This window comes from Homo sapiens, chromosome 2 (genome assembly GCF_000001405.40).
Source record: "Homo sapiens chromosome 2, GRCh38.p14 Primary Assembly".
Taxonomy (NCBI): Eukaryota; Metazoa; Chordata; class Mammalia; order Primates; family Hominidae; genus Homo; species Homo sapiens.
This window is the reverse complement of record NC_000002.12, coordinates 165170710-165188787: the sequence shown is the minus strand read 5'-3', so window position 1 is coordinate 165188787 and position 18078 is coordinate 165170710. Positions and strand designations below refer to the sequence as shown.

The following is an 18078-nucleotide window of genomic DNA, read 5'->3' as shown; positions in this document are numbered from 1 at the left end:
ATCTTGCTCTGTCACACAGGCTGGAGTGCAGTGGCGTGATCTCAGCTCACTGCAACCTCTGCCTCCCAGGTTCAAGCACTTCTCCTGTGCGTCAGCCTCCTGAGTACCTGTACCTGGGATTACAGGTGCACACCACCACACCTGGCTAATTTTTGTATTTTTAGTAGAGACGGGGTTTCACCATGTTGGTCAGGCTGGTCTCAAACTCCTGACCTTGTGATCCACCCGCCTCGGCCTCCCAAAGTGCTGGGATTACAGGCGTGAGCCACCGCGCCCTGCTGCACAGGTGATTCTTATGCTCACTGAAGTTCAGAATTGCTTAGAGTCCAATTTTATATAATAGTTAATTTGTAAGCCAGGGCTGCTTTTAAAAATAAGTGAGATGCAACTCTTATTAAGATATAACGCAGTTTGAAGTATGTGGCCTAAAGTGAAGTATTAATCCACATGCAGGAATCACTGCGATTTCCCATGGATACTTGGGATTGAAAAAGAAAAAAAAATACTCTCTCCTCTTTGAAGCCAAGGCCATAAAATATATTTTCTCCAATCTGTAAATCAGTAATTTTCATAAGGGTAGGAAAAAGAAAGATAACTCAAGCAAATCAGAAACTTCTGGGATGCTTTTTCAAACTCCACCCTTCTGCTCCTCCTTATTCCCTCTTCGATATCCAGCCCTCCCTACCTCATCCCCCTCCACATCCCAGCAAAAAGCTCTCAAATATTTTAAAAATGTATTGAAATTGATGTTTTGGTTATTTAACATACTTAACATCATGTTCATTATAGCTCAGGATGAAGGTCAAAGTATTTAAAACTTAGTTACTTGTGTACTATGAAGACAAGGGAAATAACATTTATTAAGCTTGTGGCTGTGAAGTAGAGGGAACTAACATTTATTGAAGAATTATAAATTTATGTAACAATCTATTGCTCAATTTCTGATGCAAGGTGTGTCTTATGGGTATTATTATTAGCATTTGTGTTATTGTTACCACTTGGTGAGAGGTAAGAGAAGAGAGGCAGAGGCCAGATCATGAAGGCACTTCCATACTTTGCTAAAGTGATTCTGAGTCACTGAGAGCCACTGACAGATTTGAACAAGGGTAGGATATGTGTTTTGAAACCATCACTCCGGTAACAGAATAGAGAAAAAAAATGATGGCTTAGGAGAGAGTTCATCTGGAGACAAAGATTGTATAGACCATGTATAAAATTGTAAAAGTGAGATTTAATGTTTTTTTGTTATGGTAAGTGGCCAAGGGAAATTTACTGGTGAGAATTCATGACTAGTTTGGCTTATGAGCATTGTATAAATGAATTGCAGTAAATATTGTTTTAAATGTCAGTTACTGATTTTAGAATTATATATATTGCCCTTTGAAATTATTATTATTGGTTTAACTCTGCTAAGCCATTGCTGTTGGTTATAGCGGAAAGAAGTATGACATCTGGTTATTACATTTAGGTTAATATTTAGCATGCTGGCTTTTTACCTCAGCTTGTCTAAAATATACTCTTAGAAGCTACTAAATAGGTTTATTTATCTTATTTTAGTAAGCCAATCAAACTGGGTTTTAGGTGGAGAGGAGAAGGAACTAGAAAATGACCTACAACACCAATGTGAACCACATGTTCCACTAGTCTACCTCTTTGGTCTTTGAGATGTTTGAGGAAAAGAAGCAAAGGGGAAGATGTAAGGAGGGAAGAGGAGAGAAGGAAGCAAGAGGGAAGAACAGAAGGATGCTCAGGAGTGCCAGCATGCCTTCAGAAAGACTAAATGGATCAAGGCTGCCAAAGAAGGGGGAGCACCCCTGTCCCAACCCTAGGATCCTGGCAGTGGTTCCTGGTCCCATTCTTCCTAAATCATGCTAGGGCATGCTTTTAACAAGGGTCAAATATCTTGCTTTGCATCATCCTTGCTTTCTCGATCCAGGGCCATAAAAAAAAAAGGAATAAAACCCAGACACAGAGCCAGAGCACCCCTATGCCAAATGTCAAAGATTATAGGCTAATTTCACCTGTATTCTCTTTCTACAGAGATTATGGAGCAAGAAAACTGAAGCCAAGCCACATCAAGGTTTGACAGGGATGAGATACCTGTCAAGGATTCATAGTAGAGTGGCTTACTGGGAAAGGAGCAAAGAATCTCTTCTAGGGATATTGTAAGAATAAATGAGATAATTCACAGAAGGGACCTGGAGCTTTTCCGGAAAAAGGTGCTGTGACTATCTAAGGTAACTAAACAACTTCTGGGTATAAGTTTGTTTTTGTGGAAAATAAACTAAAATCTCTACTATTTAACAAGGACAGCTGTATCAGGACCAAAAGAAGGCAGAGGGGTGTTTTCTTCCTTCCTCTACCAGTTTGTTCTTCCAAAGAGGCAAATACATACAGGGAGACATAGCACAGATGACCTTAGGGAATGGAATGATGCCAAAGGCTGTTGATGTAAGAAAGAGAGATTAACTCAGTTTTTTTTTTGTTTTTGTTTTTTTGTTGTTGTTGTTGTTGTTTTGAGACAGAGTCTCTCTCTGTCGCCCAGGCTGGAGTGCAGTGGCATGAACTTCGCTCACCGCAAGCTCTGCCTCCCGGGTTCACGCCATTCTCCTGCCTCAGCCTCCTGAGTAGCTGAGACTACAGGCGCCTGCCACAAGCCCGGCTAGTTTTTTGTATTTTTAGTAGAGACGAGGTTTCATCGTGTTAGCCAGGATGGTCTCGATCTCCTGACCTCGTGATCTGCCTGCCTCGGCCTCCCAAAGTGCTGGGATTACAGGTGTGAGCCATCGCGCCCAGCAACTGAGTTTTTTATATATTTTTCTTTTAAGAGAGACATTCATCCTGTCTATTTAGTAAATTACCCTGGACTGTATTTACTTTAAATTTTATTATATTTATTTGGTAATTGGATCTATGGCTCACCTGACTGTATGGGGTAAAGATCATCCAAATATGTGGTGAGTACTTGGTTGTGAGCTGGCTTCTGAATTGGTCAAGTTTTTGAACTGACCAAAGACTATTTATTTATTTGGTGTATCATCTGCAACTAACTAGAAAAACTGTCTAAAACTGTCTTAGTCAAGAAAGATGTTTATTGAACAGAACAAGCAGTGCAGAGGTTGTTCGGGTCCACAAGCTGAGTGATCCATCAAAGGCCCAGGGGTAAATATGTCTCTGTGACCTGCCACCCTCAGTGTGTCAGCTTTGCTCTCAGATTGGCATCTCTTCTGGTTTTAATTTGGCTGAAGTAGTGCCATGTATTTTATCCCAATAGAAAAGGGTCCAGAGGACAGAGAATGCTATCTTCTCTTTGTTCTCTTTCTTGGGAGTGAAGAAACTTTTTACAGACAATGACTTGACTGAAGTCCCCTCACCTTTCCTTGGCCAGAATTAGATCATATACCTGGTCCTTAAACAAAGATGGGCAAGGGACTTGAAGGAAACATCTGGAATGGAATGAATACTGGGGGGTCAAACACACAGTTTACTTTGCAAGCATTTAATAGAAACATTAAAGAGATAATAAATCCAGTGATGCTGATTTGTCCTTTAAAATGTTGACTTAATTTTTGTTACTAGTTAGCAGTTGTCTCTTCAAGCTAATAACTATCTGATAAGGACGAAGTCACAGAAAATATCAACCCCTAAAAATTAATTAGTTCCAGGATAATTATCTTGAAGATAGAGATGAACCCATGCTTTTTTTACTAAGCTTTTTTTTTTTTTCAGAGCCATGACATTGAGTCCAGGTACAGAAAAACAGAAATAGATCATCTCGTTAAATAGTTAACACATGTTGGCAATCATGTGTTTAGCTAATAGAAACGGAACAATAACATAAAGAAGGTCTAGATTTCATCTGTGTTTGGCTATAACGTAGTGATACCCTTGCTGTAGAGTTACTTTCTCAATAGATTTATTCAGACTAATAGTAATGCTGATTTCCTTGACAACACACTGAGAGCAAGAGGTACCTGACATAGAAGAAGCTAGCCTAGGTTTTTAATTTATCATCAAATAACTCCAAAGTGTGTAGCATACATGTGAAAGTAGACGTGGGTTTTATGTTTGTTATTAATTCATTCCTGTTTGCTTTATCTCCTATGTGGAAATAAAGATAAGGACTATATTGCTACATTTCTTAGATTATACCACTCATTCCTGACACAGGGCTTTATACATAGTAACCTCCCAGTAAGGTAGCTGATTTATCCTAATTTTGTTTCAGCAAACATCAAGAATCTTCTCATTTTGCAGGCTTAGGTACCTAGGCTTTTTTTTTTTTTTCTTTTTTTTTTTTTTTTCTGAACTAGACAGGTTTAAATCTTGGCTCCTTGTCTTATCTAGTCTACCTGCACCTAAGCTTCTTGATCTCTAAAGTGGAAATATTAATGGTATCAACCTCATGAAATTGTAACAGTGATTAAATGGGCTAACATGCATATATGGCATGACAGTGTCTGAGATATAGTAATCATTCAATAGAATTTTGTTTATTGTTATTCAATCTTCACAGCCCCCTGATTAAGGTGTTATTTCAAAACTATTGAAATTATAGAAAATAGTATTTAATTCTGCCTTGGAATGTGTCCAGTGGTTATCATTATAATGTGCTGAGTGCTCTATGTATGCCTTTGATAAATCTTATGCTGTTGGGTGCATATGCTGCCTGAGAATATATGGTAAATAACAGACAATCATTAGCTCTCAGTGAAAATTTCACTGGGAAAAATAACTAATTTTCTTCAACAGGTAATTCATCGGTCAATCTTGTCTTTTACCTTATACCCTTACTATAATAGTCTCTTGTAGATACCAAGAAAATACAGCATCCCTCCTCAGTAATGGACCCAGTCCTTCACAGCAACTCACACTCTCCTTCTCAAAGACGTGAAAATACATTACAGATTTTTTTAATGCTATCTCAAGTTGTATGACATACAGCAACTTTCCATCCATAAAGATGAAAAATTTACAGCCTTCTGACACAATCTTGTTTCCATGGAAACAGACCAGAACTAATCGATTTTGACTGCAACACAATCATAAAAATCCCGACAGAGAGAGGGAAAGAGAGACACTACTAATACTACAGGTTATGGACCAATACAATTTGCCAAACTGTCTGCTGTTCTGGAAAATTAGGCAAGATGAGAACCCATAGGCCATGACTAATGGAAAAAAATAAATTTTTCCTTAGTAACACCACAGCATATCCGAAATGTTTACAATGCTATTTTTCTAGATTCTGATTCATTAACAAATATTAGTCTTGTACTCATTGTATTGGCTGGCTTCAAGTACTTTCATAAGATTATGTTAGCATCATAGTACACTGATAGGTGAGGCTAGAAAACTGAAATGAACTAGTCAAATCTATTTTTCTGTAGTTATTTATATACAGCTTAGATCTTTTAGAGCAAATCATATAATAGTAAGATTCAAGACAAATATGTCAACTATAATAGAAAAGGTCATAATTTGTGTTTGTCAGTAGACATTTTAGAGGAGATTACTTAGCTTCTTTGGGACTGTTCTTCATTTATTTTACAGGCAGAGAGTTGGACTAATTGTTAAATCCCAAGTATGTCTTTTAATTAGCATCTTGGAAATTCCTCTTTGGCATCTAGGTAATTGTTCTAACTTCATTGTCTATCATCCTCTCTGTTCCCTTTACTTAAAAATTGGTAGTTGTGTGAGTCTTGCCTCTTCACTCATCATCCTTTCACTTTTTTTCCTTAGGCAATGCCGTGAATATTCTTAGCTTCAGCTTCAACCAGTGACTGCTCTTTTCTTTCTTTTTTTTTTTTTTTGACAAGGTCTTGTTTTGCAGCTTAGGCTGGAGTGCACTGGCAAGATCATAGCTCACTGCAGCCTTGAATTCCTGGGCTCAAGCAATCCTCCTGCCTCAGCCTCCAAAGTGCTGGGATTACAGTCATGAGCCACCATGCCCAGACTCATCCAGTAACTTCTTAATCAACTTTACCCGAGCCCAGACAGCTTTCTGAGTCTCAGATCCATATTTTAATTCTATATCCAGATGTCTCACAGCTATCTCAAACTGAACAGGTTCCAAACAGAATTTATTATCATGCCTTACAAACCTCCATTTCTCTATTTGGGTTAATGTCGATTTGTGGCTTAAGCTGGAAACCTGGAAGTGAGCTTAACCCTATAACTTTAATTCACATCTCCTATCAAGTCAGTCACAAAATCTCATTGTTTTTCTCTCTCCTATACTTGTGCATTAAATACACTCCTCTGGCTGTGGTTTTTCTCCCTAACTTATTGATGGCCTACTATTAATGTATTCCAGGCACTGTGCTCACCCTTTAGGTTCATTTTCTCATTTAAATGTTATATTAGCTCTATAAAGTATGAACTATGATTATCTCCATTGTACAGCTAGGGAAATTATAAAGAATAAAAAAGCTTCAGGAACACAGCAGAGTCAGGCCTTGAATCCAGTTCTGATTTCTAAGTCCATGCCTTTTGGTACCAGAGCTATAGTCAGATCTTTTACTTCTCTTCTTTTGACTATTGAGTGGTGACTAACTGCTTTCTTCTAGGGCAGTTGTTCTCGAAGTATAGATTTTAGACAACTGGGGATTCCTGGGGCCCTTTGTGTGGGAGCTTTGAGCTCTAAACTACTTTCGTAATAATACCAAAATGGCATTTGTCTTTTTTCACTGTTTTGGCACTTGCACTGATAAAGCAATAGGCATGTGCTAAAACTGCTAATGCTTTAGCAGGAATCAATGCAGTAGCATCAAACTATAGGCATAGTCTGCATTTTCTTCATTGCTGCACACTCTCAGTAAGAAAAATAATGCCAGTTCACATAATACATCTCTGATGAAGCAGTACATATTAATTTCATTCAAGCACAATCCTAAAAATACATATTTTTAACATTCTGTATGATGAAATAGGAGGAATATATAAAGTATTTGACTGCATACTGAAGTGTCCTAGTTGTCTCTAGGAAAAGCACTTGTGTGATTGAGTCAGGAGCTGAATAAGCCACTTTTCTTTTTTTCATGGAACACCACTTTCACTTGAAAGAATAACTGACAAACTATGGTTATTCAGACTTGAGTATTCGGCACACATTTTCTCAAAAATGAACAAAGGGAAAGCCTGTCACTTCAGGAAAAGCAAATGACAGCATTTGTTGTCAATGTCAAAATTCGAGCTTTCAAGAGGAAATTGGAATTTGGGAAAACTTTTACCTGCCACTGGGAGCTTGACAGCCTACCCATACATTACAACTTTTCTCATGACATTAGTGGTGATAGTAACAAATGCGATTTTTGGATATTATATAATAAAATTTGTCAAAATCTGGAAGACCTTCATAACAATGTGCCATTTTCCAAATAATTAGTGCATGATTAGGTAAAAGACTTATTCAAAGGACAAGATAAATCAAAAGTTCATTGATATGGCTTTTGATTTCACACAACTAATTTAATAAACTACCATTTGTAGAGTTTTGACGTGATATTAAAGAAGGATATTCACAGTTACCTGGAAAGGCAATTAAAACACTCCCTTTTCCAGCCACACATATGCGTGAAAATTCTCTTCATATATTTCAATAAAACAACATATTCTATCAGACTGAACACAGAAGCATTTATGAAAATCTAAATGTATTCTCTTAAGTGACATGAAGATATTTGACTAAATGTGAAACAAATTCTTCTCATTAAATTTTTTTCTGTTTTGAATAATATAGTTGTTTTCATTAACCATCTATTGTCTGTATAAACATACAAGTGCTTATTATTAGTTAATAAGAATTTTTACATTTTTTCATTTTAATTTTTAATATGGTAAGTATGGATAGCTAAGTCCCCCGATAAACAAAAGTTCTTTGGGTTCATGAATGATTTTAAGAGTGTAAAGAAATCCTGAAACCACAACATTTGAAAACTACTGCTCTAGGATCACTCCCTGCCTGTCCACGCTTCATACTGCCACCATCTTTCCAATCTTCACATTGATCATAACACTCCCCATCCATGGCATACTTTCGTGTGTAGTACAGGGTCCTCAGTGATCTATCCTGCCTAACTTTAGAGTTTTATGTCATACCACTCCCTTCTGTGCAGGGTGATGTCCACCCATAATGAATTGCTTGTCATTGCTCCCAAACTCTCCATGCTCTTTCTTGTCTCTGCATCTGCACACATGCCACCCCCACCCCACCTGCTCAATGTGTCTCTACTGATGTGTCTTCCTACCAATCCTTTCCCAACCACTACCACCATAAGACCCCAATCAAATTCCAACTAGCCTACAAAACCTACTCCAATATCACTTCCTCAGGGAAATTTCTCCAAACCATACCTCTCTCTCCCTTCCCTGGGATGAACATATTGATACTTTTTATGAACTTCAGACAATAACCAGCCATATATAACTGTGTTATAATTATCTGTATAAAAATCTGCCTCCCACATTGGACTCTCAGCCCCAGGGAAGTGACCATGGGTTCCTGGTTCAAACAGAGTACTGATTCGTAGAATCCCTCCATAAATATTTTCCAAATAAATGATTTCGAGATCCTTTCCAGATTTGGAGTTCCGCAGTTTATTCCTCAAATATGATATACTGAACCATAATCTTTTTACTAGTTAACAAAGGGATGTATTTGCTTTACCTACACACATTCATCCACAGGCTTTTTGGTTTTTAGTTAAAGAGATCATCTCCTAAGATTTTTTTCGTATCTTTTTTGTCCTTGCAAAGATAGCTCTGTAGAAAATTTGATATATTAAATTTTATGTATTTTAATAAATTATAATGTGCATATAATCATTAATAATATATATATTCCACACCAAGGCATCAGTAAGAATTAATTTTTAAAGTCTGCTCTAATGTGAATATAAAATTATGTAAGAACTCTGTATAATAAGCTCACAGAGTACAAGAAAGGAGAGGAAAAAAGTAAAAGAGAACTGCGAAAGAACTATGAGGGATTTCCAAACAGCAAAATTGTCATTGAAGCCATGAGAAACTCTACTCACTAAATTCTTTAATTTCTCAGCCTACCCAAATATTGGGCAAACCCTAATTCTCTTGCAGGGGAAAAGCTGAGAGTCTGGAACTAGCCTATCTTCCGAGGACTTAGAGACAACAGTATGGGAATTTCAACGAGACGTTTTTACTTTCTTTTGACCAAGATTCAAATTCTTTATTCCAGCCCTTGATAAGTAAATAAGAAGGTAAAGGACTATTTATTTGTAAAAAGTTTTTCATGATTTTGTGATGGCACCTTGTTCCATATCATCTCAGATAAATCAGAATAATTTGTGAAAATTACTCGGTGATTTCCACATTAGATATTTTAAACCTAATGTTATTTCTAAAACAAAAACCAACCAGGAGAATCCAATTAAGTAAAATGTATGTATTAATATAAATTAGCTATTCCCATCTGGAAAAGGGCAGCCATTTCTGTGTTGAGGTGCCTCAATGATACTGAGGCTGAGACAGGTTAGATGATACAGGCATACCATTAGCAGCAGACTCAATACTAACCCAGATCTCCCATTTCAATTGCAGTGTGTTTTTCATTCATTGTCAATAAAGACATCAAAATTAGTTCAAAACCAAATCCTCAAATCAACCTTTTTTTTTTTCTCCTCTAAGAAAGCGACCGTGTTTCATAGAATTTCCTTAAGACATGTTTGTCATGCTGTTTCATTTTCATTCAGCACTGGAGAAGAGCCACAGCCATTCAGTTCATGGCAGGTGATATCAGACAGATGGATTACACATCTTTAGGTACTTACGGCTTGCAGAAAATGCTCAAACTCTTTCTGCACTCAAAAGCATAAAAGCTGTGATTATTCCACACAGCTTAGAGTTGGATTGATGATGTGATCATCAAAATTGACATAAGATGGCTAAAAACATTAGTTTTATTTTGTGCTGCCTCCCGTAAATTTAGAAAACACAAAATAAATGATCAACTGACTTTTGAGTAAAACAGAATTTTTCTCAAACCTTTCGATTCATGTACTATACAACCTGATGGAGAAAAAAAAATGTGCTGCCCAACTATAAAACAGAAGTTCTGTTCAAAATTAGTAGAGAAAAATAACATAACTTTTGACAGGCCTGCTATTTTATTTTATAACTTATATAGAATATACCTTCATAGTAGCAAAAGATATAATGACAATGTTATATCATAAATACTAACTCAAAGAAAAGACATATCTTACGTTAAAAACACTTTTTGGGCCCAGTGCATTGGCTCACCGCTGTAATCCTAGCACTTTGGGAGGCCGAGGCGGGCGGATGGCTTGAGCCCAAGCGTTTGAGATCAGCCTGGGCAAAATGGCGACTGAAACCTCATCTCTACAAAGATACAAAAATGATCCAGGCATGGTGGAGGGCACTTGTAGTCCTAGCTACTCAGGAGGCTGAGGTGGGAGGATCACCTGAGCCCGGGAGTTCAAGGCTGCAGTGAGCCGTGATTGTGCCACTGCACTCCAGCCTGGGTGACAGAGTGAGACCCTGTCTCAAAAAAATAATAATATTATAATATAATAAGTAATGTTATAGAAACACTTTTTTGTCATTGGAATAGATCAGGGAACTAGTAATTAAGATATAAGCAAAAAAACCCCCACACACATAATAAGCTATATTGTTTTTCTTATGTTATTAATAGATCCAGAGCTTCTGATTGTAAGCTCAAATATATGTAGTGAGCTGCCAAGAATCAGAGGGCCATTTAGGGATAAACTACTACGGAGCCTAGAATACATGTGGGGGCAAAGGGGAATGGTAGGAATGGGGAAAATGTCACAGATGACTTTGATCATGACTTTGGTGCCATAGTGGTAGGTTCTTTTATAAGATGACTGATGTACTTATTTTATTTGGTTTGTCATTGTTTCTATATTCTATCTATCTTGATTTTTTAAATGTGATTTTTGGCATAATGCAAAATAAAATAACTCATATTTCGAAATTTACATAGCTGATTTCTTGTGGTTTTGATAGTTCTATTATGTATCCTGCAAATAGATTTTTGTTCCCTTCCCTGAGAAATTGAGCAGGGCCACTCCATCAGTCTGCCTTCCCTTCTTTCTCATCCAGGTGATCGGCATGTGTGAGTGTGCCTCTATACACTGCACTTCTCAGTTCATTCCTTTAATTCCGTAGTCACAATTGTGGTTCCAGCACAGCAAGAACTTGTTTAAAGAGTGGTTTGAATTGTGAGGATGCCTGAAACCATAAAAGAGGGAAAATAGCTAGGGAAACTGAAGATAATTTAATTATGATAGTTTACAATAATATAGTGCTTACTAATTCCAAAAACTATTCTAGACACAACATAATCAACTCATTTATTCCTTATGATAACCCAGGAAGTCAGTTTCCCTACTACCCTCATTTTATAGATGAATTCAAGCAATAAGGGGTTACTTTGTCCACAATCACACAGCTCATAAGCGGCAGAGCCAGGGTTTAGAACGGACAGTGTAGCACCTGAGTCCATGCTTTTAACCACTATACTAAATGGAAGATTCAGGGAAAACGTCAAAATTGTCTTGGAATAATTGAAGGGCAGCATATTGAAATAAGGAGTAAACATATTCTCCATTGCCTCAGAAGGAAACAGAGTCTGGCTTAATAAAAGAAAGGAAATACTAAAGATAGGTAGATTTTTCTGGCAGCAGTGGCTTCCATGTCCCTGCTGGTTGGTGATCAGATCTTTTCTGGAGCAGCAGTTGTCAATGATGCTGACAACGAGAACAGTGGTTGGGTTTGGCAAAACTTCATTTTCTATCCTCATTTGTATGAGTCAGGGATGTATTACAATAATTGTATTGTTACCAGTACTTCTTTATTTGGGGAGTTACAAAGTTATGAAAAGGCGGGGGGCAGGATGCAGAATAATTAAGCAATTTTATTGACAAACTTTACTGGCATTACTCTTTTGCTGAAAGTATACTATATTTTGGCTTACAGTGTCAAAACAGAATTTTTTTAAATGCTTTTAAAAAATGGACAAAATTATAGATATTCTTGAGGTAAAATATAATGTTTATATATTATATATACTGTACATTGTAGAATGGCTAAATCAAACTAATTAACATTAAGTACAGACTTTTGATAGATTTATGAACTTGGCTTATTGAGAATGAGGTTGAATGATGATGTTTTCAAGTTCAAATGTGTAGTGCAGTACTAAAAGCATGACTTAATGTTTATAGCTTTAAAAAGTTACTAAAAAATGACATTTTGGTTGATGTTCTTATGCCCAATCGCTTGCTTTCCTAACTCTTGTGCAATTTTTCTTTTATTGCAGGTAATTCGTATGCAAGAAGCTACACGTAATTAAATGTGCAGGATGAAAAGATGGCACAGGCACTGTTGGTACCCCCAGGACCTGAAAGCTTCCGCCTTTTTACTAGAGAATCTCTTGCTGCTATCGAAAAACGTGCTGCAGAAGAGAAAGCCAAGAAGCCCAAAAAGGAACAAGATAATGATGATGAGAACAAACCAAAGCCAAATAGTGACTTGGAAGCTGGAAAGAACCTTCCATTTATTTATGGAGACATTCCTCCAGAGATGGTGTCAGAGCCCCTGGAGGACCTGGATCCCTACTATATCAATAAGAAAGTGAGTATTGATTTTAGACTTCTAATAAATCTTTAATGAAACTCTTAACTGTAATATACTTTTCTGGGCCTTATATACAGCATCACAATTTTTCTTCTGTTAAAGATTTTATAATACTCTTCACTGTCACTTATTTTTATCACAATATAATAAAACAAACATTTATAAGAAATGAAGTCAAGAGTTGGTTACAGTCAGGAAATATGAATAGATGAATGATTTCTACAATTTCACAGTGATAATTCAGATAGTCAAAATTAAAATTAATATCAACAAAGTGAAATATCTGTTATGGCTGACATATTCAAGCACAGGGTAGACTACAGAATAATACCTGTGCAGAAAAGAATTATGAGCATATGTTGTACTTAATTATTTTTTAGTTCATGACTGACTTGATGTACCTTCACAATAATTTATATTCTAGAGGACAATAAATAATCTGCTTAGCATCCTCCTGTAGCCAGACAATACATGAAGAAGCATGTTCACCCAGAGATTCCTTTCCCCCCCAGTAACCTAGAATATGATTAGGATCTTCTCTTAACCTTATATAGTTTGTGGCATGCTAGATTCTGGATCATGTATACCATTAAAACATCACCCTGAAGAAAAAAATGTCAAAATTGGAAGACCAAAAAGAAAGAACTTTCAAATTTTCTCCATCCATACATGATTTAAATTAGTGGTTATGACTGTGCTTTCCTAATGCTAAAATAAATGCATAATTGTATCAGAATTAGCTGGTTTCTATAGTTAAACTAGCTGGGTGATATTTTATAGAAAATATAAAAAATAGGTGGTATACTCTATGCTTTCTAATTGGATATTAAGGCATTTTATAACCACGATTTATATTTTACACTTAAAAGCGTAAAAATAGCTCAATGTAGAAACTAAAGATAAATTAGTATCACCATGAGTTGATGACTTATAGATTATGGAAGATATTAAACACCTTTATTAGTCAAAGCACATCCTTTTAAAAGTTTATAATTTATAAAATCAATGATGGCTAAAGGCAATGACAACCATTCAGACATGGAATTAGTCCTGTTGTTCTAAATAAGTACTTCTCAAACTTGCACATCCATACAGATTACCTCAAGATGTTTTAATTTGCAGATTCTGAATCCATAGGTCTGGGCTAGGGCCAGAGATCCTGAATTTCTTACAAATCATCAGGCTGTTACATGGCCACACTTTGAATAGCAAGCTTTAATGTTTTATTTAAAGTCATAAGACTACATGTAAATAGCTAAACAGAGTCTCCTTTTTCCCCTTTTATAGCTAGTTTCATAAAAGGTGACATTTAATACATTCATGTACTTCTAAAAATAACTTATTTCAACAATTTACTATAGAATTGATAAAGAAAAATTTGAAATGTAGTTATGATGATTACAATAAGTCACCCCCCAAGAAATTGGACAAAATATTATCCGGTGAAAACTGTTGCTCTGAAGGATATGTTTGTAAAGATATCTTTAAGAAAGGAGGCATGATTTACTCTGCTATGATTAAAAGTATTTGCTACTTAAAGAAAGGAAGTGTCCTTAAAAAAGAGAATCAATCAGGCTGGTAAGATTAAGGGGGAAACAAAAGGAGAACAACAGAGGCAAACGTTACTATTTTCCAAGGGAGACAGAACTTTAGTAGTAGCACTGAAAGCATTTTCTTCCCAATGGCCAGGCCACCTCATTGTGGAGGGGCTACACTGAACTACCTAACACATGCTATTAAACATTCCACATCATTTGATTAGGTCAGCTGGCTTGGGCTCCATATTCAGCAAGAAACCTTCTGACTACAATTTGTTTTCCCCTAAACCTGCTTGAAGAAAAGAACGTGCTCATTACATCACTACAATTATCTCAGTCCATATGAAAGTAATGTATCTCATTGTAAATAAATACACTGGAGGCCAGGCATGATGGCCCACACCTGTAATCCTAGGGCTTCGAGAGGCCAAGGCAGGAGGATTGCTTGAGGTCAGGAGTTTGAGGCTGCAGTGAGCTATGATTGTGCTACTGCACTCTAGCCTAGGTGACAGATCGAGGTCCTGTCTAAATAAATAAATAGGTTGGCATTCTTATTTTATATATCAGGTTTTCAAGTTTGGTTAATGTGAGTCTGCCACTAAAAAACAGAATTGTCCTCTGTTTTTGACAAAGTCAATTTTTATTGCCTCCATGGCTGAGAGCCAGACTTAGACCCTGATTTATTCATAGTGGCTGTGAACCATCTTGCGAGACATCTAGATAGTCTTTACGGTTGGCTGCACTGCTTTCGTTTATGAAGTATCCATAAAGATGAAGATTGAGGTGCTATTAAACAAGGAGGTAATTTGTCATTCTTAGCATAGAAGGAGTAAAGTAAGAAGCTAATGGAGGAAGTTTTAGAATTTAAAAATATGTTATGAAGCTGTGTTAATTATATGGAAAAATACAAGTAAAAGGCATTTAAAAGCTTTAAAGCATTATGTAACTCTTTACCATCATTAATTAGTGATACATTTTGAATACCTAATTTAATTAAATGAGTAATATCACAATGTATTTTAATGGCATTTAATTTGACCAGGGTGCTATTAATAATAGTGACAGTGATAATCATAACTAACTTTTCTTGTGCTCATACTGTGTCAAGCACTGCTAAGTTCTTGAACTCATTTACTATATAGTGAACCAGTGAGGCAGGTCCTATTGTTAGCTCAGTTTGTAAATGGGGAAGTGAAGCACAGAGAGATGAGGTAACTTGCTCAAGGCCACACTCCTTAAGTGGTGAATCCAGGATCTGAGTCCAGGCATTCGACTCCAGAGCCAGAGCTCTTAACCACTAAGTGAAATTATATACTATGCTTATTAACATAATAAAATAAAAGGGAAAGTTAAAAAATTGGCTGCATCATTTTTTGAGTTCTCTGATTGATGTGGTCCTAATCATTGAGATGTAAATCTTATTCTTGCCACAAAGTAGTAAAACTTTTAGTAAACTTATAAGATGTGCATCTAAGTAACATTCTAGGAAAAAGAAGCAAGTAACATTCCAGAGTACAAAATAGCTGGTTTAACATACTTCCAGCTGTAGCAATGACGATCTATCTCTCCCCTATTCATCTGTCATTTTCTCAAGTAATTTTCAGTTTAGGTATATCTCTTCATATCATCAGAGCCCCATAATTTCAAATTCTTGCAATTCTTTCACTATGCAGGACATTAGTATTTTATTCTGCATTTCTCAGAACTCAGGGTTCTCTTTGTGTCAGGTATTGTTCCTGAGACATAAACTGGGATTGTAGTCTTAAGGCCTGCTCTGTTTTAGAACCTATAAATTCAACGAAGATGCTCTTAGCATGTCAGCTGTAATTCCGCTAGTACTACGAAGGCTAATCTTGCAGGAGGAGCAAAGGGTTCCATGTTCAAAGGGATAATTTATTGCTGTTCACTCTGTTTTTGGAGATAGTTCAAAATGAAACTCTCTCCTAATGTCGCAAGCAGAAATTGCTTTTTCAGGGAAATTGTTTCAAAAGAGCATGAGTACCTGAACCTTAAATTACGGTGAGCTTTTTCAAGTTATGCTGTTGTGTTGCTGAATGCCTAAATGGATCTTGACTGTTCAACTGTAATATTAAATAATCTAATCTTGTGACTCCAAGGCAACCCTTTAATGCTTCTGTGCTTCAACAACAGTCTTTCCAAGGTCCACTGTCCTTTACACACAGTCCTACTGCTAGTAAAGAATAGTTTGCTTGCCCGCTTCATAAAACTATTCACATTTATAGTGTGCAGTTTCTGGAAAATTGTTAGTTAAGTAATGGTTGGCTCTATGGTCTTAAATACAAAAAGGCAATGAACAGAGAAACTGTGTAGTTTCTGAAAAATGGTTAGTTAAATAATGGTTGGCTTGATGGTCTTAAACACAAAGGGATAATGAACAGAAAAACTGTTCAGTTTCTGGAAAATGGTTAGTTAAGTAATGGTTGGCACCATGGTCTTAAATACAAAAGAGCAATGAACAGAGAAATTGTTTTCCCTGCCCTTTATACTGACAATATAAATATTTTTGTCTACCTACTCAAACAAAGCATGTTGTCAGTGAACATAAATGTATGGCATATAGCCCCTAGTTAAAGGAGAGAAACATATTATTAAGTAAATGGATATACAGAATAGATGTCTTAAAGGTAAATAGTATCTTTAAGGTAAACCCACATTTAATTAAAACAAGTGTTTATTTGCAAACCAGGCTATTAAATACTGTGAAAAAAATGGAGAAAAAGTAGATTACAAGCTCTTTATGCTCAATGGTTTATAACAATTTCTAACCTAGTTCTCACTGGAATGAACACTGTGTAAATTGCTACTTGACTATAATTACAAGCAACATGTAAAAGAGTACAAATTAATGTACTAAGACTTACTGGTAAAGAGAAACAATTAGGGAGTGATCAGGAGGTAGTGTGATTTATTTGGAAGGACATGATTAAGGAGGTGATTGATAGCTGAGAAAATTCCCAGACAGAAGGGATTTTCAACCTTGATTGCATATTGGAATCGCCTCAGGAAAGTTTTAAAAATACCCAAATCTGTGCCCATCCCTCAGAAATTTTCATTCAATTGGCAATTTTAAAATCTTTACAGGACAGCCTAATATTCAGGCAGGATTAAGAACCTCTGACATAATAGGGGGTCACTGTAGGTGGAACTATATTGTAATGTGTTGTGGAGACATTTCCCTGAAATGAAGGGAGTTTGCATTAAATGACCTTTCAGTTGCCACCTTCTTCTAGGAGTCTATGACATTCATATTCAGAGTCATAGGGAGAGTTTGACTAGTTGTGAGTGAGGCTGACAACTGAATTGAATTGGCCATAGCAAAGATGACTCTAGTGGGAAAAAAATAAAAGATGATTCTATAGGAACATGGTAAATAATCACTTGTAGCATAGCTAATACTAAGTGGATGATTGTAGCTTTCAGATCATAGAATTTTAATTGTGGAATGCCCTTTGAAATGGTGTATTTCAGACTAAATTTCAATGCATCCATCTCTCTTCAGTATTAGCTGAGAAGTTGAACCCTTCTCACACATCTATAGTCAGCAAAACCAGATTATTCAACCTGTTTGAACATTTTAAATCTACAGGGACAATCAGAAGCCATCATAAACTTTGAAGTTAAAAGATTTGATATGATTAAAATACTTATAAAAGATTATTTTAGTAGCAATGTGTACAGAGTAATCTGAAAAGTTACCAAAGCTGAAGACAGATGGTAAGCTTTAAATAGAGTTGGAATCTGTAACGCTACAATTCCATAAAAAAATTTGTGTAGAATTGTCAGTTTGTATCAGCAAGTTGGAACCTTAGAGATAGATTAGGTAATAGTAAATAGTATCTTTATTTGTAACTATATGTTA

The 18078-nt window shown here is 36.2% G+C and overlaps 1 protein-coding gene across 12 annotated transcripts in view; it reads left to right on the top strand.

Moving 5' to 3' along the window:
• SCN3A (sodium voltage-gated channel alpha subunit 3) overlaps window positions 1–18078 on the top strand; it is a 116525-nt gene that overhangs the window by 15263 nt on the left and 83184 nt on the right. For 11 of the 12 annotated variants that reach the window (NM_001081676.2, XM_017004662.3, XM_017004661.3 and 8 more), the window contains exons 2-3: window positions 2041–2237; window positions 12344–12657. In NM_001081676.2, coding sequence (NP_001075145.1) covers window positions 12394–12657 — 264 coding nt within the window. In that variant the 5' untranslated portion in view covers window positions 2041–2237; window positions 12344–12393. Of the gene's footprint in view, window positions 1–2040; window positions 2238–9096; window positions 9237–12343; window positions 12658–18078 lie in introns of all 12 variants that reach the window. The other variant, XM_011511610.4, reaches the window with a different exon arrangement.